The 22265-nt window shown below is 35.6% G+C and overlaps 1 protein-coding gene across 3 annotated transcripts in view; it reads left to right on the plus strand.

Annotated features, from left to right (window-relative positions):
• Positions 1-22265, plus strand: part of IL1RAPL1 (interleukin 1 receptor accessory protein like 1) — a 1369273-nt gene that overhangs the window by 1330646 nt on the left and 16362 nt on the right. For all 3 annotated transcript variants that reach the window (NM_014271.4, XM_017029240.2, XM_017029241.2), the window contains one exon: positions 1858-2003. In NM_014271.4, the coding sequence (NP_055086.1) occupies positions 1858-2003 (146 nt within the window). The remainder of the gene's footprint in view (positions 1-1857; positions 2004-22265) is intronic.

Below are 22265 nucleotides of genomic sequence, written 5' to 3' on the forward strand. Positions count from 1 at the left end.
CAGCCTGAACAACAGAGTGAGACTCTGTCTCCAAAAAAAAAAAAAAAAAAAAAATATATATATATATATATATATATATAGTGAGATCAAAATACCATAAAATATAGAAAATGTTAGTGTACTTTTTGTATATGAGACCTTTTTTTTAAAAAAAAAAAAAAAAAATGTTCTTTGGGAGGCCGAGGTGGGCGGATCACCTGAGGTCAAGAGTTTGAGACCAGCCTGGCCAACATGGTGAACCCCGTCTCTACTGAAAATACAAAATTAGCCGGGCATGGTGGTGGGCGCCTGTAGTCCCAGCTACTCGGGAGGCTGAGGCAGGAGAATCACCTGAACCTGGGAGGTGGAGGTTGCAGTGAGCCGAGATCGCACCATTGCACTGCAGCCTGGGCAACAAGAGCGAAACTCTGTCTCAAAAAAAAAAAAAAAAAAAAATTTTCACAGGAAACATTAACAAGGTACAGGGACTCAAGCAAACACAATCTCTGTCATTTCCTGCTACGTATTTTTACATATTTGAGCCACCAAGTGGAATATAAGCTTTTGATGGTAGTGATAAGGATACACAAAATGTGTTTATCGCCTTTCTTAGTCTGACTTTAAGGTCGAAATATTTGTATAGTGGGAATGATAACATGAAAATATTTGAAGGCATAATGCCTAAGCCCCTTTTTTGTTCAATGTGTTTACTTATTTATTCATTTAAGTATCAATTATAATTCATTCAATGCTAGCTGTAATTATGCTTTGGCATAGATACTTATTTTTATTCATAATGTAAATATGCAAGAACGTTAATAATAATAAGTAAGTTACAACCACATCAAAATGATGATTACTTCTAAACATACTCCCATCTAAAGATTGCATCTTCTGGGTATATACAAACATTTTAATCATGGTCCCCCATTCTAAATGTCAAGACTTTTAAAACTTTATCAAAGGTAAAAAAGAAAATGATTTTCAATAGAAAAATAACACATTTTCTATTGGGACCTTCTTTCTGGCAACAAATACATAAGAATATTGTACTCTAGAATGCCCCAGTGGGATTCCAGAAGGCTAGATGGACAATTGTCTAATATGTACTAAAACATTTTTCTGCTGATTTTCGTATTTAAAACTTCACTCTTATCTTTTACCCATGGTCTATGAAATGCTAAAATAAATGAAGGACAATTAACCTCCTAACTTTTACCCCCTCTGGCTTTGTGTGTGTTCAGGGAAGTTTCTAGAAAGGTAGTTTAATTCTGCATTTAAAAATGTTGAACAGAGATGACAACGAGGTTAGTGAGCATTTACCATTAATTTTAATGTCAGAGTTAAATACTTCACCAGAACTTTTAGTCTACAGGTTTATAGTTTCACGTTCCTTCAAAAACAGGCAATTTGTTAGTATCATTAACAAAAGTCAGACTGAACATTTCAACTGAAATGTCAAAATAGCTCAGAAATTTTCTTTTCTTTTTTAAAAAATTAACCTGACATGTAATTAGGCCTTCAGCCTGAGACATTAGAATTTTTATCTCAACTTACATAATATTTCTTCTTAAAGGGAAAGCAATTTGTAAACTTTTTCTTCAAGGTCTTTCTCACCTCTTTATTATGACAGTGTGATTGTCCTGCTAAGGGAGATAATTAACTGCAACTTCATTAGCATCTACAAAGACAAGCTTCCTCATTACAAGTGAAGAAGAAAAGGGCATAACTTAATTAACACAGCATCAATTCATAGCCAAATTAGAAGCACAGATTTTGTAGGTAGTTTTACATCAGATTCGGATTCATCTACATTTCTTTCTTGTTTGTGTATGTGTCTGTTTGTGTGGATTTTTGTTTTGTTGCTTTACATTTTAGAATTCTTAAGGAGCATCTTGGGGAACAGGAAGTTTCCATCTCATTAATTGTGGACTCTGTGGAAGAAGGTGACTTGGGAAATTACTCCTGTTATGTTGAAAATGGAAATGGACGTCGACACGCCAGCGTTCTCCTTCATAAACGAGGTGAGTGTAACCTTCTAAGCTTCGGTGGTCAACTGAATGTATGATGGGAGAAAAAATCATTGGGAACCAAGAAACAAATTTAGTTTTGTTTTTCTCCACAAAGTTCTCCTAAATAAAATAATCATATTTGCATTAGAGCCACCGAGGCAAACAGCACAGTAGATGGGTGAGTAACTCAGTCTCTAAAATCAAATTTGAAATCCTTGCTTTTCTTTAATACCAACTGTGTAACTTTGGGCAAAACATTTAACTTCCCTAAGCTTTAGTTATCTGATAAATAGAATGGGGAAAATAATAGTATCAACCCTTCAGTATGTTGTCAGAATAAAATAAGACAAAAAAATGTGAAGGGCTTGACAGAGCCTATACAAGGAAAGTCGTTAAATGCTATTTATTATTATTAGAAATAGATATTAGGGGCCGGGTGCAGTGGCTCACACCTGTAATCCCAGCACTGTGGGAGGCCAAGGCAGGTGGATCACTTGAGGTCAGGAGTTCAAGACCAGCCTGGCCAACATTGTGAAACCCTGTCTCTACTAAAAATACAAAAATTAGCTGGCGGTAGTGGTGCAAGTCTGTAATCCCAGCTATTTGAGAGGCTGAGGCAGGAGAATCACTTGAGCCTGGGAGGTGGAGGTTGCGGTTAGGCGAGATTGCGCCATTGCACTCCAGCCTGGGTGACAGAGTGAGACCCTGTCTCAAAAAAAAAAAAAAAAAAAAAAAAGAAAAGAAAAGAAAGAAAAGAGAAAAAAAAAAAACAACTAAATGGTTTTAAGTCAAAGATTGTATTTCTTACTGGAAGATTGCTCCTTTAGTGTAAGAACTGTCTGGTGAATTCCCCACTGCAGTATTTTTTGACATATTGTTTCTGCCTTGGATAACTTTCATTTGTACAATAGTCTCCAATGATGAATAATAATGCATTTTTAAGTAAGATAAGCTGTGGTTAAGTGCAATGTCTGTTGTGCTAACTCTGCCTCTACAGCACCCCATCACCTTTTGCATAGGGTTAAGTGCATTTAAATGTATATTGAATTGTTTGAAATAAGTGACAACTGTAAAATGTGAGCCATTCCTGTTAGTAAAATTGTTTGTGTATATTACAAGAGAAAAATAATTTTTCTACATTATGCTAAGTTAAAACTTTCTACTCTTTGGAACAAGCACACTTGATGTTCTCTTACTCAGCAAATTTACAACGATTTTAATTTCAAAGCCCGTGTTTAATCCTAGACTCTTTGAGGTTTGAAAAGAAAGAGAACATTGAAGGCTGTTCCCCCTTCTTTATTGGGCAATAGATTCCCTTTGAATAATATTACTGAATGCTGTTAAAATAGACACCTCTGTTGTCAAGGTGACTATGGTACTAAAATAGTCTACCTTTTAGGGATGTGAGTCAAGGAGAAAGGTATGCAGCAGCTAACAATATGATTGTATCTTTCTATAGTTTAGTATATAGCCAATCAAGGAAGAGATTTTAGTAGAAATATCATACATATACAAGGACAGAAGTAGCTTCTCATAGTTAAAAGCAACTTAAGTGTTGTGTAATTGAACTTCTTATCCTGCCATAACATCTTCTGAAGTGATCTATCAGCTTATACTGGATCACATTCCCTTCTCAAGGAAGTCCATTTTATCTTTGGAAAAATCCGTTAGAAAGCATTTCACTTTCACTGTCTATCCATTGGCCCTAGTTCTGTACTTTTAATCACTCTTCCCCAAGACAGCCCTTCAAGTGTTTGATGACAGTCACCATGAGTCTCTGAACCTTTACTTCACTAGATTCAGCCTCTTTAGCTTCTTTTACTCATTCTTCATTTGTATTAGCGAAATACTTTTACCATTCTGGTCACTCTCTTGAATCTGCTTTAATTAAAGAGTTTGAATTAGTCCTCAAAAATGGAGTTAGGGGAGAGAAGATATAGGGCACATAAAAATGTGTTGACTTGAACAACATATTTTGGGGGGGGACAAGGGAGGGGTGACAGTTAAGTAGGAATCAAAGGAGAAGGGGAGGAAAATGAATTATATCTAAGGATAAAGCTATTAAAGCTCTGTTTTTACAGAGAGGCACACAGCCAAGAAGGGGTCAAAAAACCTCCAGGCTAAGTTGCCCAAAGCTATGAAACCTTCCATTTCTAGAAAAATAAATGAAGAATGAAGAAAATTATTTGAAATTTTTTCCAGTAATATTTGATTTCCTAAACATGAAAAAAATGTGGTCAATGTTAGAGTATTCTTCAGTACTTAAGTCTTTTAGTATGTTTTTCAAATATGCGTTTATACCAACGGCATTTTATTCTTGATAAATAAAAGCATTAACAAGCCAAAAAAAGGTCCTTCCAAGACATGTACTCCAAAAGTCCCTCTTAAAGTGAATGTATGCCTTCCTTTTAAGGGAGCTGCAGCAAATGAGTCATCAATTCACAAAGACACCAATGGATGCAATTTCCTGCTCTTGAGGGACTCATGATTATATGGAATGATCTATCCCACCCATCTTGGGGGGATAAAAAGGACTTTCGTTCACATATGACATGACCTGAACTTTACCAGCCCTGCAAGGTTCAGGAGAACAGCACACAGCATATATGAAATTATAGGTTTGGGTCTTTGATCATTGAGTCTCTAAAAAGTCAAATGTCTGTCATGCTAACAATTATGTAATTATCAGGTGAGTTGCTATATTACTCAGAATACTAAGGCTTAGATAAGGAACTGGAAGCTTTCACTATTAATTGTATTTTTCTGCCACTTACTCATAAATTCCTTAACTTATAAGCCTTCACAGTCTTCCCTTTTAAAACCTCCCTAGAGAGACATGTTCAAACATTTGTTGAATACTGATCTTGTATACCACAAGCTGTCATTGCTTCTGACAGGTAAACCTTCCAGGACATTCCTTTGCCAAAATTATCTAAGCAATTTTTCCTTCACTGTTACCTTTTGTTCATTATCATTGACATAATAAAATGATTTCAGAGCCCTCCAATGGGTGGTATGGATTCTTTGAAACATTGCTTCCTTGTATCAAATGTGTCTTCCTTAATGCCAAGGGGATACTATAATAAATAATTCAGCTACATTTGAGCTAGGCTATGTTCTGGGTCAGCCTTTTATCTGCGTAAAAGAATCATAATTCCATGAAAGCCTGCAGAAAATCTACCAAGAAATTTGACCATAGAAAAATCTTGCTCGAGAATATCCAAAGTTGCCAATTCCTGCAGCCAGAAAAGGTATTAGGTTCATCAGAATCTCATCAGACATGCAATATAGATATATTTCACTTACTATACAGAGCACTAGAATATGCAGCAAGAGAAAGACAGAGAATGAAACGGCAAGGCCCATGGGCCATATTGGTTTATGACTGCCCTGCTCCTTACTCTTCACTCCTGCCAGAAGCTTCTATTCAATCCTCTTTGCCAGACTCTGGCCTGGCAAGCTTGAGCATTAGATCCTGGCTTCAAAAATAATAATCAAAGTAAAGCGCTGACAAATTAGATATTGGGTTACTTCTTGTTCTTGTTATTGCTCATACTTGATTGAATTCCACATCTGAGTCTTTGAATCTTTTACCCAGATACACTTGCTACTGCCTGTCCAACACACACTGAACACTGACCTTCAGTTCTCCTCCAAAGCTCTGATCTGTCCTATTCTCTCCATTTTTTACATTTTCCATTTCTCTGACACAAACAATAGTCCAGGTAGATACCTAGAAGTATTGTGCTCTGACCTCAGGCCTAGACACTCTTGTACCCATCAAGCTGTCTCAGATTCCTTCTTCACTCTCTGTGCCTTCTGTCTATACTCTCATTTTGAATGACCTCACAGTGTAGACATGTTTATTATCTTAATGGTTAAGAGCATGGACTTAGGAGTAGGGCTGGCTGTGTTCAAAACCCAACTCTGTTCTTACTAGCTGTGCTATCTGGGGCAAATTACTTAATCACTTTGAGCCTCAAATTTCTCTTCTATAAAATGGGAATAATAATAAGACCTCTCACATAGAGCAGCTGTGAGGATTCAATGAACTCGTATGTGTAAATACTTATCACAGTGTCTGACACATACTTAGCACCCAAAAAATGTTAAGCTATTACAAGATTTCCTTGCTCTAACTATGTGATACTCTGGCTAATGAAGGATGCAGCAATTGTGTGTTCCATTAAAAATTCCCTGAATTCTAATTCATCTTTCATTAAAATCATCAGCTTTAGCTCCAGCAATTTTGTTCTGTCAATTCTGAATTTGACTTTATAATAGATATACTGTGGTTTGAATGTACTGTCCTAAAGGATAATTTTGTTTATTTATTCATGCATTTAATGATGACTAAGAACCTACTATGTGCCTGGCATTTGTGCTGGCCAAAGTTACAGGCATGAAAATTAAAATTAAATGAACAGGAAATAAGGACTAATATAATTTGGAATGCCATCCACTACTTTTTAAATTACAGTGATATTAAACATTCCTAATGTATGATTGTGCTTCCTAGTGAATGTTTCACTTTGAAACTGTCACATTGGGGATGTTCATTAGCAATCTTACTCTGAAGGGTTATGTTTCCTTATATGGATTACAAAAATATGGCAATTCATTAATCAAAATTTAGTTTGGGAACTGGCAAAGTATCTATCTGAGAGACTCAGCACTAGTTAATAATGATAAACATCTAGGTTTTCTTTATTTCCCATCTAACCCATTTTACTTCTTGTGTGCACTCTCTTTATCCCTTCAAAGAATGTAATCGATAGAAATTAGACCTGCTCAATAAACTCCCTAGACCTAAAAGTATCTTTAGTAATGTAATTAAGTGCACATCATTTAGGATGCATTGTTTTAAAGCCAGATGAATTTAAACCCAGTGGACTCCTTTAACCCTTCTTGTAACGAATCATCCTTGTAATATGTGCCCCATCCTTGTTAGTATTTGCCTAGTGAATTTATTTACTGAGAGTTACAGTAAGGTCATAAAACGGTGCAAACTTCTTTTGGGGCTGGCCATTTGACGTCTTTGACCATTGATTTCAGAATATGTTAAAGCCAAACTTCGTTCAGAAATCAAAACCTCCTACCTCTCTTTATGGCAGCATTTCCCTAGAAAGACAATGACCCATTAAAAGCTGAGCTAATGTCAATGAAATGGATACTTTTACTGAGTCTTAGCTTATGCAGTGCCAAAATATTAAGGAATTTTAGTAATGTTGCTGCAGCATCTCCAAATAAAAGTCAACAAGTTTAACAAATTCTCTCCTTGGATAAGATTTGACATTTTATAGTCAAAATTTTCTTCTGTCCCGTAACTGTTTTTTTTTTTTTTTTTTTTTTTTTTTTTTTTTGCTGGGGGGGGCTTCTCTGCTCATTTGTATAAGACGTCTAATAGCACAAATTATCCAATACTAATGATTTTGTACCTCTGCACTTCTTTTATTATTTATGTTTATTTTTACAGACAAGGCCTCATTCTGTTGCCCAGGCTAGAGTGCAGTGGTGTAATCATGGCTCACCGCAACCTCGAATTCCTGGGTTCAAGCAATCCTCTGGCCTCAGCCTCCCTTGTGGCTAGGACTACAGGTGCATGCCACTACACCTGGCTATTTAAAAAAAAAAAATTGTAGAGACAGGGTCTCCCTATGTTTCCCAGGCTGGTCTTGAACTCCTCGGCTTAAGCGATCCTCCTGTCTCAGTCTCCCAAAGTGGTGGGATTACAGGCATGAGCCACTGTGCCCAACTCCCTGTGTGCTTCTTGATACGGATATTCCAACAAGGCTATTGATTGCCACCAAAGTTGCAGACATGACTATTAACCACTTGAGCTATTTCCTTAGACTTAGAATATATTATTTAAATGAGATTAATCCCAAGTTAGTTATTTTTTTGCCTCAACCGTGAAATGTTTTGAAGGCTTTTTTTTTTTTTTGAGACGGAGTCTCGCTCTATCGCACAGGCTGGAGTGCAGTGGTGTGATCTCAGCTCACTGCAACCTCCACCTCCTGAGTTCAAGCAATTCTGTTGAAGGCCTTTTGATCCTAGTTTTTGCTAATCAGTTTTAATATGGAAGTATGTCATGTAACATTGTTTGGCCTCTTAGCCATTTTGGTCACACAGTTTTCTTCTCTATGAATGAGAATAACCAAGTAGCATCATTGTTAGAAAAGAAAAGGACCATTGTCTGCTGATGATTAACTTTTTTCTCAATTAATAAATGACAAGAGGGTGATCCTGGACAAAACCAATGTCGAGGGCCAAGAATAATAAACTCTTTAGTCTTTAATCATGCCTGTTGATCATTCATGTGGGCCAAAGCTCTTAAATATTTAATTATACATGGTTATAGTCACTGGAAGTCCTTTTTTGCTTTATTGAGTTTTACACTTGTTTTCTTAACTAAATGTTCAATTCTTGATACAGATCTTTAACTAGTATTTCTCTCTTACATGCTTCAAAGTACCAAACCCACTTAGTAAATGTGATGAATGGGCTGATTAAGTGTATTCTGAGTGATCTAAACTTTGTCTATAGCAGGATTTCTCAATCTTGTCACTACTGACATTTTGGGCTTGATAATTCTTTGTCGTTGTGGGGGCTGTCCTGTGCATTGTAGACCGTTTAGCAGTACTCCTAGCCTCTGCCCACTACATGTCAATACAACCTTCCTCAGTTATGAAAATCAGAAATGTCTCCAGACATTGCCAGATGTCCCCAGGGGTCAAAATTGCTCCTGGTGACAAGCACTGCTCTACAGTATAGATATAAAAAACTCAGTCTTCCTGGAAATGATTTCAACACTTAAGCTGCTCAATGTAGGGAAATTCAAAATAGAAGGACAAGTATTTTAATCTTGAAAACCTTCCAAGATTATACCAAATGTGACTAGAAGGTCAACAGAATGGCTGTTCTTACACCATAGGAATTGACAAAAGTTAGGTTTCTTCTATTTCCATGCTTAGAGAGTCAGCTAAAAGCCCCTAGACCAGTGCTTCACAAACTTTACAGTATGCACAAATCACCTGGGAACTTTGTTAAAAAGCAATTCATTAGCCTGGGGTAGGACTCAAGATTCCAATTTCAATCGAGTTCCTTATTGGTGTTGCCACTATTGGTCTGTGGACCGCAGCTGGCATACCAAAGCCCTTGCCTAGACAATAGATCTTTCTAATTAGCTTGGTAGCCTCTAATAGGTAAAGAGAAACTAGTTATCTTGAGCTCACTGTCTCCATGAGAAAGGAACCAAAGCTGAGTAGAGCCAGTCAGTAGGACTGTTTTTAATTAATTGCCTCATTCTTTTTACATGGTCAACACCTTTGAACCTATTTGAACAGTGGTTCATTGCCCTCACACTCTACTCTTAATGAGGTTACTTGTTTCACCTATTCAATGAATTGTGCTATATAACATACTTGCTACTCAGAGAGATGTCTGACAGGGCATTTTCTTCAAGTATTCAAATAATTAACCTCTTAAATGAAGAGGGCCCTCACTGTTGGACCCATTTCCTATTTATCTCATTTTTTAAAAAGGAAATAAACTTAGGAATGTCTCAACGACATATATATGGATATACACATATGTTTTAGCCTATGCAAATAGGTTGAATCTCAGCCTATGCAAATAACATATGGAGGAACACGATGTATGGTGAACACGAAATACTGCTGATTTTCTGTTTTGAACACTTACTTGTATTCAGCTAACTCTCAATTAAGTGTGGTAAGAAAGGATGGAAATGGTATGGAAATTGAACTGCCACATATTATTGGTCAATGATATGCTTCAAAAGCAGGAGGGAGGGAGGGAGGGAGGGAGAGAAGGGAAGAGAAGGGAAGGGAGGGAAGGAAGGAGAGGAAAGAAGGAAAGACCATAGACCATAGCAACACAGACTGGTTAAAACCATCTCTCCGAGTTCAAAAGTTTAATTCATTTTAAAAGGCATCTGTCTAGCATCTAACAGAGGCTATAAAACACAAGTATTTTTACAGCTGAAGCAACTAAACTAGTGTGTGTATAGTCAACAGTACACAATGTATTTGAATACTGCCAATTTTTATGTGACCACTGAGCTGCCAGTGGCAGCAGTCTACTCAAGTGAGGGCAGAAGGAATCCACTGGAACTCATATCGATGTATTAGAAAATGATAAACAGGCAGTGTAGAAAAAATAATTAAGTTTAAAACATTTGCAGGAAGCCCACAGAAATTATCTAGCACACAGCAAAATTCCACTTGTGTAATCAGAGATTCCAAACAAGATAGTATATTCCTAGCCACCACCTACCAACAACCAACCCCTCACTCCTCCTTCTCAGAACCACCTTCATATTTTCATTATTTCTGGGTCAAAACAACCTGTTGATTGACAATACTTCATAATCCCACTACAAATCTCACTTCACTGCAGGCTGCTTAAAAGAGATAATTCATATAATGCTGTTGTTTGAAAAAGCGACAAATCATTCTAATTCAACAAATATGTATTGAGTGCCAGCTATGGGCAAAGCACTGGGTTAGGCATCCTTACTAGTGGACTGACTGACCGCTGCCAGAAGGATATCTACCACCATCCTGGAGCATTAAAACAGCATTTTTGGGAAGAGGGAGATAGCTGTGCATTTTTATGGCTGCAAATTCCTGCATTTGGTAGAGAAATGGCACAACTGGGTCATAAAATGCAAGGTATAACTTTTAATAAGTAGTTCCTGTACGTTGAACTTTTGACAACCAGGTCAGTAAAGTGAGAAATTAGACATGACGCATACAAAAATGCTAACTACTATCTCGGGTCATATAGTAGGGAGAAAACGTGTTGATTTCCAGTAAATTACCATGGTAACTTGTATAGATTTTAGTGTTGAGAATTACATTTGCCATCTGTGGGAAATATATTATCTTTTTGTATCTAATTTTAGGGCATGTGTTCTATTTTTAGCATGTGTTCTATGAAAAATAATAAATTGGGAGGCCAATTTGGATAAATTAAAAGTGGATATTAAAATGCTATAAAAATAGAATTTATTTTTAATTCAAAAAGAAAATCCAGTAGTACATTTAGGAAAGCACACAAAGGTCATTTTTAAAACCACCTCAAAATTGTTACCATTAAGCGAAATTTGATATGAATGAGAATTGACTAAAAAGTGAGAAATTCTGAACTGTGATAAAAAAAAATGGACAGTTACCTGAGAGTATTTTGCTTTTGACTCTTTAGCTTTGTGTGACCTAGAGCCAATCTCTTTGTGTCATTGTTCTTCAGTTTTATCATTTGTAAACTAATTGCCCCTAGCCGCACTGTGGGAATCTTGAAAGAGCATATATGATACTGGGTGACTAATAATATACATTAGACCATTTGTCAGATTTTACAGATTCTCTGAGTTTTTACACATTGTGCCTCAATTTTGCCAATTTTGAAAGTGAGATATGGTGGTTGCTCTTCCTAGGGATTTTCTTATGCCTTAAGTGTTTGAAAAGTTGACTCAGATCTTTAGATGGCAAGTTTCTGTAACTGCAAAGTAGAAATTACAATTCCTTACGACATGCAACTGCAGTTCAAAGTACCGACTTACAATGGTTGCCAAATTCATGCAAACTAAAGTGGAAGAGGCCATTTTCAAAGCCTGAAAGTATTAAATATAAATTACCTGACTTAAATCAGCTTAGAATTATAATTCTACTCTGTATGTGATGTAAAATGAATTTGACTTAAAAATTTATTTATACCACCTCACAATTTCAAGGTAATGACTCACAACTGCTTGGGTCCATTTCTAATTCTCCCCAAACAAATATGTCTGTAACATTTAAATACCTTAATGTTGAAAGCAACTTAAAGAAATACATTAAAGATACCGCAATAAAATTCTATTTAGTTAGGCTTCTTCGGTAGACTGCTACCACTGGCAATTCAGCAGTCACATAAAAGTTGGCAGTATTAAAATACATTTTCTTCTGTGGGCTGTTCACATACTAGTTTAGTTTCTTCATCTGAAAAACAATGCAATTAGTCAAAATGAAATTTGAAATTTTTACCTCCTCTAAAATCAGATGATTGACTCCACGTTTTATGTGAATATTCATAAACTGTTGCCAAAACTGATTATTATTTATGAAGAGAAAAGCTCCACAGTGGTGTTTAAAAAATTCCTGTTAGACTTGCATTGCTGAACCAGGCATCTTTAAATGATAGTTGCATAAACAGATAGGCAAATAAATAAATAATTAGGCTAAAGTGGTTACCAAGAGAACTCTTAGCAGAACATAGCTTGCAAACCACACTGGACAAATTCCATTCCAAACTGTCCAGAATAAAAGGCAAAATATAAGCTATTTTGTAGTACTAGTATTTAAAGCCATAGATCAATTACCTATGTTAAGGCTACATGAAAACCTAATACATTAGAAAGAGATGCATTAAATAATTTAGTGAAGTATTAACAGTGGTTACCTCGAGGTGGCATGATTCCATGTGATCTTTAATTTCTTATCATCCTTATGCATTTTTCAAATTCTTTACTAAAAGCATGTTTTATAGAGTCAGAAGAAAAGTGAGAAAATAAATCTATTTTGGTATAGCTACTGAATATTTTTGAAAATGCTTATAGGAAACCTATCATTACTCTCTGCTATAAAATCAAGTTATTTACACATTTTTCAAGTATATTGAAATCTATTTGCTTGAATATGTACTCTTGCTCCCACTTTGTCTATTTTATAAAAAAACATTTTAGGGGACACCTTACTTCTACATTATTTTCTCAAGCCACTGCTAGTTTTCATATGCTGAAAATCAATACATACAGTGGGATGATAAGGTAATGCTCTATTCTTTGTGAAGCAGAGCTATGTTATGCTATTTTGGTAAAAGATAATTCATTATTGAGGACAAGCCCTTCATGTATACCAGTACAGAGGCCACTAAACTATGTGAGCCACAGACTTCTTCTCAAGTTTGTCATGGTTTAAGGAACCATTTACTGCTCCCTTTGGATGAGGCAAGTAATGGTAGGGTCTCCTATTGGTAGCTCCCAAAACATGCTCATTTTTTCATAGATTGTTAATGGGGAGGGGGGATTTTTTTTTTAAAGGTTAACAGAGTCTTGAAAGCATCTCTTTACAAAATGAGAAAGAAAGGCAAATTTACCACTATTTTCCTCAGCATGTTTATGAATTCAGAAGTGTTCATAAACATTCAACATAGAGAATAAATATATTTTTCTGTTATTCCCACTGGGGGAAATGAACCAACATATGATTTTTGCTTTAATGCTTTGTAACTCTGGAATCACCAAGATTTTGCATGAAACTTGTCTCAAGAGATAAACTATTACCAACAAATTTTGCCACACACATTTTCTTCTAATGCTTTCAGTAAGTCAGAAATCCATTAAACCCCTAAAGAAACAATATTAAAATAATAACATAAAATTCTGAAGTTTATTAATGTATCCCATTTGTATATTGCAATACAATCAGTTTATATGTGTGTACAATATTTTCTAAATGTAGTTCCATCAATTAAATATACTATAAATCATCATACTATATTTGTTTAGAAGAGTTCAATATTTCTGTAGAAAACATGGCTTCTTCTATTGGTTATCTAGGCAGTCCAGATGTTCTGGGTTCTTTGGCCAATCCAAAGCATTCCCAATGGAAGACCAAATTGTTCTAACTATGACAATATACCCTCTTGAGGAAAATTGCTTTCAGGATAAACATCACATCCCTTAACAAGGAGTAAAATGGCAATGCCACCTTCACTCTGACAGTTTTCTCTCAAGAGATGTTTTGTAACATTCCATCTGTGCCTGTCTGTTTGTATGACATGTTAAGAAGGAAATTCCTAGTAGAGGGAAAGCAATACTTTTCTAAGGTATTTTCTTTTAGGCATCAGTGAAGTTTGACACCTTGATATACAATAGCCCTGTCTTCTAAGCTGGTCACCTGAGGCCCTTTTTGTTTGTTATTATAACAGTATCTTCCTTCTTTGTCTGTCTTCTCCCCATCATACTTAATCTTATGAGATCTGAGATAAAGGAAGCCCCATCTGAATACTTTGTACCTGTATGTGTGTGCAAACACACATAATGGTCTGTGTACATCTCACATTATAGTCTTTAGATAGAAATATTTCAAACACTGCCTTTATAATCTAAAGGGGAAAGGTTTTCTGCAATAAAGCTCTGTCTGTGTTAGTAACTTCACAGTATACATTTTGAAAATATATGGCAATTTTTCCCAAGGGAGAATCATTGTCCTATTGTACTGACCTAACTTTGCGAAACCTGGTTTAATGGGTTCCATGAATCCGCAAACAAATATTTATTGAAAAGGTACATGCTATTTGCTTTGAAAATAAAAAAAGATAACATATTCTAGCTGAGAAATCAAAGCATGAGTTTGCCTACCTTCACCTATCACATCACACATTCATTTTCCCAGTGCTCCAGACCAAACTACTTGCCAAAATCCTTTGCAGCTACCTTTGCATTGTGTCATTCTGTGTCTGACCCCTGTCTCTAAAATACTCCTACAGAAACACACACACATACAAATACCCCAACTGAATTTCTCATCTGGCTTATAATTGTGATACTTATAATGTAGCATTTCTTATATAAAAGGGGTCTAGCACAGTGACACTTAAGTGCTCAATAAATATCAGCTCTTATTATTATTATTTATTATTATCTGCTTACATGTCTGACTCTGAAACTAGACATGAGCACCTTTAACGCAAAAACATATTTCATCCATCACTTTCACTTTATCACTAGAACTCAAAAGCACTGTACCTGGTACAGAGAAGGCACTTATAAAACAAATAGAAAATGTATGTATTAGTAAGAAAATTTGAATAGCAGTATCAAAGATGTGAAGCAGTACATGATTGATTTCCAAATGTCAAGTGAATACAAACATTCTTAGTTCTGTAAGTCTATACAAGACTGTATTGTCATTAGCTTTGTGAATGAAAAAAAGAACAGAAACCAAACACCACATGTTCTCACTCATAAGTGGGAGTAGAACAATGAGAACACAGGGACACAGGGAGGGGAACATCACACACCGGGGCCTGTCTCAGGGTGGGGGCCTAGGGGAGGGATAGCATTAGGAGAAATACCTCATGTAGATGACAGGTTGATGGGTGCAGCAAACCACCATGCCACGTGTATACCTATGTAACAAACCTGCGCGTTCTGCACATGTACCCCAGAACTTATAATAAAAGAAAATGGAACAATAATTTTTAAATCTATACTATGAAGTTGATCATTTTTCTATATATTAAAAGTTTATTCCTAACTTAATGGACTGAATATTAATGCTATAATTATACCTTATCAGTTGCTTGAACCTTAGGATACATTGACTAGATACACAGACATATTCTTGGAATTTTAGAATAGAAACACATAAAACCTAGCTTTTTATTCAAAATTGGGTTTGTTCTTAATCATCTAATCAGTCATTCATTTTCACTGAATATCTTTAATGTGTCAGATAGTTAGCAAGGTATTTGGGATAAGTAGTGAAAGATATAGACAAAATAGACAAAAAAAAAAAAAAAAGAGAGAGAAGACAAAAAACTTGTCCTGATGGAATTTAAATCCCAGTGGAAGACAAATAATAAACAATAATACATTTATTGATAAGCAAATGAAATATTATGTTATATAGTGATGAATACTATAAAAAATAAAGACAAGTAGATGCAAAATGCAGCCACAGGTTTGTGACTTGGAACGAGTGGTCAGTGTATCCAATTGAGAAGGTGCCGTATGAGCAGAGACTTGAAGAAGCAAAGAGAGAGGCATGTAGAAATCTAGGGGAAATACTCTCTAGTCAGAGGGAAGCCAGAGCAAAGGTCCTAAGATAAAGTCATTGCTTACAATGTAAAACAATAAACAAAACTAACTCTGATATAATTCAATATGGTAAATGAAAAAAAAAAGGAACAGGAAATACATGTTCTAAAGAGGAAAAAAATCACGTTTAGTTGGAAAAGTTATATTGGAAGTGCAAGATCCTAACCTTTCCTTGAAGGACTGGTTGGGTTTTGGTAAATGAAGAACTTCTGGTTTGGAACAAAAAACTCATGTCAAATTTAATTTACATTAGAAGGATGATTATGGCTAAAGGTTAGTTAGCTGCTTCAATTAAAGGAATAAAGAAACTTAAATGCCCACATAAGGGGTTTAGACTTTGTTCCATGGGCAATGTAAATCAGCTAAGAGATCCTGCAGAAAATTCCAGGGTGAAGACATGATCTGGGAAGATGAAATTGAAGGCTTTGTGCAGATTCGTGTACAATAGCTGTAAATAACAGAATTTTAATACAAAGGTAATCAACCTGAAGTACACTCTAATTACAATAACACTTGCAATTATTATCTTACAATTTGACCTTTTATTTTTTAACTTTCTATTTTGGAATACAAAAACTGCAGATATTATAGAAAATTACAAGAACAGTGCAATAAATTTTCATATATCTTCTCCACCTAGATTTACCAATTAATAGATTTGCCACATTTACCTTATCTCTCTTCCTACATATAGGTAGGTAAAAAGAGCTGCACTACATATACACACACACACACAACATATCATTGCTAAACCCCATGAGAGCACATTGCAGACACTGAAACTAAATTCTTCAATGTGAATCCCCTAAAAACAAGAATTTTTTATGTAACCAGGATACATTTATCAAATTCAGGAAAATTCAAAATTACAAAATGCCATTGCCTATGATATAGTCTATATTCAAATTTCAAAAATTGTCCCAGTACATACCCTTTACACCATATTTACCATCTAGGATAATGCACTGCATTTAACTGCCAATTCTCTTTAGTCTCCTTTAATCTGGTATGGTTCCTCAGCTTTTCTTCGTCTTTGATAACACTGACATTTCGAAGAGTAGAAGCTAGATGGTTTTATTTTTTATAGTTGTCCCTCAGTTTGGATTGGCTGGACATTTCCTTATTTTTTTTGGATGTTTATGTGTTTCTGGCTATAATACTACTTAAATGATATTGTGCCCTCTTATTGCAGTACACCGGGGGTGGGGGGGATGATATCAAGTTGTCCCGTTATTGGTGATGTTAAATTTGGTCACTTCCTTAAAATGATGTCCATTTTTCCCCAGTGAGGAGGTACTATGAGACGGTGTGAATATCCTGCCTCACCAATCTTTCAACCAATAATTTTAACGTCTATTGATAATTTTTGCCTGAATCAATTATTATTATGATGGCTGAAAAATGGTCATTTCTAACTATATCGTTCATTTCATATTTACCGGTTGACATTCTGCTCTTAGGGAGAGCTTTCCCTTCTTGTTGGTTTATTTGTAACTAATATGAACACATGGATTTGTGCTTTATTCAGTTACTGCCATTATTCATTTTAACTCATCTTTTAAAACATACCACCTATGAATACTTCTTAATTCACAGAGAGAAAAACCAGCTTAACACCCTTCTTGCCTAGTTGAAAGAGAAAAAAAGCACATTCCAAGGGTAGGCTCTAGCATGCTGTGAAGAGAATGTTACACTTTTTCTTCTAGCCTTTCATTTTATTTTTCACTTTGAATAGTTCATTAACACATAACAATGAAGTTCCAAGGACCTGTGGGACCTTAGTCTAACTGGGCTCTAATGATGGGTCCTAGCCAACAACCATATTTGCATTTTGATTGGCAGTAAGTAGAAGTTAATTTGGTGCTTCGTCTAAAAACCTCTTTCCAAATGGCAAAATATACTACTTTGGAGGTAATCTTTTGCCCAAATGTTTGGTCATACAGATTAAGCCGCTCCATTCAGGGATCATTTTTATTTTTATTATTATAATTTTGGGGGTTTATACCCTGACTTCCCAAAAAGGACTTTTGCAAGATCAAAACTGTTATTCTTACATACTGGTTTGTACTTTCCCAAAACATTTTCTTCCTTTATGTGAATAGCAGCTTGATTTGTTAATGTGTTTCCCCCACCCCCCGCAAAAATAACTGCTTTTAAATTACACTGATGTATTGTAGAACTGAGTTGAGTATCTTTGTAGGCTGAGCATAATTATCCTCCTGCCAGGAACAAATAAGTTATACTGCTCCAGAGAAATAAATATGCATATGAATTTATGTGGATGGATAAATTCTTATAAACTTTAGCTCTTTATAACACAATGAGAGAAAAAGAAATGTACCTGGTGAGGCTAATGAATAAACTGGGATCATTATAATGTCTGTCATGCATTTTCCCCACAAACTTGCATTTTACTGCATATAAATGAGGGAAGAACACTTCAAAAGACTTTTTATAATGAACGAACCAACTTTAGGATAAACTACACAAAAGTAAGCCATCTAAAATCTTCAGTTATACCTTCTGGCAAAATTCTATATATATAGGAACACACACACACACACACACACACACACACACACACACACAGATCAAATAGAGATACTGACTAAAAACTGCAAGTCAAGAGTTCAAAAATACATATGAACTTTTACTTACTTTGTTAAAAGCTTTACCTTTTCGAAGATTTCTAGCAGAAAATGTTTGCAAACAATAACACCAGGTACAGGCCAAGAAAAGAACATAGTTTCCCATAGTATACTAGGTAATTGCAGCAAGATCAGTGGAAACCAAATGCATTTATTATTTGCAATGTAATTCAATATACTAAGAGATGGCACGCACTTTATTTTAATTAGCTGTTTCTTTTAAGGGGTTGCTTGCTCCCACTGTCTTGATAAGAAAAAATTGTAGTCATTGCTCAAAATGCTTGTAGCAAATCTAGTTTTAAATTGAAACAATTTATTCCAAAGCAGTCTACTACTGCAGCAATAATCAATGTGTTTTCCCTTAGCCTGTACTGGAGCTTTCCTAGGACTATTGTTAATTGCCTGTAACTAAATGATCGCTGGGGCCCTTAAATGCAACTCTTTGGCACTTGTTCATTTGTTGTTTTTAACCAAATGCCAGTTTTCCCTAGGTTTTGCCTAGCAATTTTGCTTTACAATTTTCAATATTCAGTCTCAGTCCCTTAAAGGGGGCAGAGTCTATCATTTTAACAAAATACACAAAGGCTAAACAGATTTTAAAAGGTCTGCATTTCTCCTTCTGTCCTCAGATGTTGAATTGTGCTGAAATGATATCTTTTTATTTTTTAAATGCTGCCACTCCAGGCAACTTGAACTAGAGCTGAAAAGTAGATCCCATTTCAAAGGGAAAATGACATTTGCTGGGGCAACACCATTTACATTGTAATGTAAAGATAAAATACAGCAGTGGGCCCAAATGATTTCTCTTAACTGTGACAGAATTTAATCCTTAGTAATTTTGTATAACCCAAAGGATAAGCAATAATAGGTAGCGCATGTATTAATGAATCTGTCTGGCTTGGAGCAAAAGAATACAGAGGCTAAATCTAATGCACAATTTTCTTTGAAAGGGTTTTCATATGCTATATAAACCAGTGTGACTTAAATAGAAAAAAAATTTAACTTGCATACATGTATAATGTGTAGGCTTGTATATTACACTCCTGCATAGAAATATTGTAATAACTGAGGGGCAGGCACTGTGCACCATGGGGAAAGACACATTTCCATTTTGTTCCTGACCTCTTTATAAGGACATTATAAGAACACTATGCTTCTGCAATGTAATACTACAGAAGTCTCTGGGGGAAAGTCTGTGATGCTCTCAGGATCTCAGGATAAATTAGCTCCTTGTAAATTCTGTTTCTTTAGACTTGTTTTTGGTATTCCTATTATTAGTAAATGACTATCTATGGCCCAGAAGAATTATTCTTGCTTATTGCTCATTCTCTAAGCATATATAACTTTTCATATGTTTGTACCCTAAAGGAGTTTTTCATGTGACACAAGACTGTTTCTGTAACTGCTAAGCTACATCAACCCTGCTCTCTTTTTCTTATTATATTTTAAACAACACTATTGATTGGCTATGTAGAGTATTCTAAGTAATGTATATCATTTCTTAAATGGCTCGTGACATGTAGCAATGGGAGTAACTCCTATCTGGGTAATTACTTTGCTAAAAATAAGAAGGACTTATTTTCATACAATTTTTCTCTAATTTACCTGTATTCAATTTCTCAAAATTAAAAAAGTATGTAGAGACCAGTATTATAAATACCATCTGGAGAAAATGAGAGTTCTGTTTATTAGATTGATCAGATTATATTTCAGGCAAATATTTTTTATTATTTCCAAAGCTCCTCGACTATCTATGGGCACTTAAGGCATGCCACATGCCCAGCCCCTGTGTAGTGCCTCCAGATATAAAGAATGTGCTTGGGGGCACCGTAAAAGAATCATTCCCTGCCTGGGCCCTTATCTACAGCAGAGCAGCTTTCCTGACTCCCAGCTTTCTTCCCACACTTCTCCCCACATAGGCCTTTGGTTAGAACTTACGTTTTTCTTAAAAAAAGAAAAATCAAAATGTTAAAGAATTGAAATATGATTCACATAATATAAAGCGTGTAGCTCTAAGTGTTTGGCTAAATGAGTTCCGACAAATATAAACACTTGTGTATCCACACCATAAACCTATTTCCTTTACCCCAGAAAGTTTCCTCTTGCTCCATTCCAACAAGTTTCCCTTCACTCATCATCAATGAATCTATTTTCTGATTTATGTCACTATGGATCATGTTGGTCTGTTCTTGAGTGTAATTTAAATAGAATCATACAGTAGGTATTATTTCTTGTCTGGCTTCCTTTTTCTAACATAATTTTGTGAGAGTCATGCATGTTTTGCGTATCAGTAGTTTACTACTTTTATTGCTGAGTATATTCTATCATATGAACATACAATAGTTTGTTCATCATTTCCTGTTAATGGACATTTAAGTTGTCTCTATTTGTGGCTGCTGTGAATAAATAAGACTATTCTGAGCATTCTCATACAACTCTTCTTGCAGATATCTGCTTATATTTCTCTTGGACAAATACCTAGGAGTGGAACTGCTATTGATATGGTAGATTTTTATTTAATTTTATTAGAAATTACCCCAAAGTTTACAATGTGGTAATATCACTGGGTACTCTCACTAGCAATGTTTGGGAGTGGAAGCTAAGTGTTCTTGATTCTTTTTCCATTTCTTTTTTTGTACAAGAAATTTTTGAGTGGTAAATTCCTAGTGTTTAATATACTAAATTAGAAAATCTTAAAAGAAGCCATAGTCAAAATGCTTATTTCTCACATTATATCCAATGTATTTTAAATCATATCTTCCTGATGTATAAATCACCCTGTGGGCATAAGTTAGAATTTTACACAGGCTTCTGTGTATGGTGGAGTTTATTATCTTGAGTGAACAAGACCCAATGTATCCCCACAGGATTAGCCGCTCACCCTTTCTGTTCATATAATAGGGGGAAAACATTATACTGAAGAGCTTTTTGTATTTTGTTCCTGGTATTTTTGTAGTACTGTCTTGTGTGGTTCCCCACAATGTTAATCAGATAAGCTGCTGGAGGTATTTTTCAGTGTTTTACACTTCATATTAATTTACTTAGACTCTAAAAGAGTTGATCTCACTTTATTTTTTCTTAGATGCATACAGTTCAATCGTTTTAAATAAGATTTTCTTCAATTTCCCATTTAATTTTAATAATTACAGAAAAACACACTTGATTAAACAGCAGTTAATGTGTTGTTTATTAAACTGTAGAATTAGAAATCAAGGGCTAGGTAATAGGAAATATGAATGAGGATTTTTTTTTTTTTTTTTTTGAGACGGAGTCTCGTTCTGTCGCCCAGGCTGGAGTGTAGTGGCGCGATCTCAGCTCACTGCAACCTCCACCTCCTGGGTTCAAGCGATTCTCCTGTCTCAGCCTCCCAAGTAGCTGGGATTACAGGTGCCTGCCACCATCCCCAGCTAATTTTTGTATTTTTAGTAGAGACAGGGTTTCGCCACGTTGGCCAGGCTGGTCTCAAACTCCTGACCTCAGGTGATCTGCCCGCCTTGGCCTCCCAAAGTGCTGGGATTACATGTGTGAGCCACCGTGCCCAGTCTGAGGACTTTTTTTCCTGTAATTATTACAGGAAAAGTGACATCACCTGCACACACACACATACACAATGTTCTTGTAAGAAAATGATGGCCGTGCTTTTCAGATTATTTGTCACTCATATTACACCAGTCCCATCATGATTTCACCCCATTTGTGAGAACTCAGGACTGATCTGATAACCTGAGGGTACTTGTT

This window comes from Homo sapiens, chromosome X (assembly GCF_000001405.40).
Source record: "Homo sapiens chromosome X, GRCh38.p14 Primary Assembly".
NCBI classification, from domain to species: domain Eukaryota; kingdom Metazoa; phylum Chordata; class Mammalia; order Primates; family Hominidae; genus Homo; species Homo sapiens.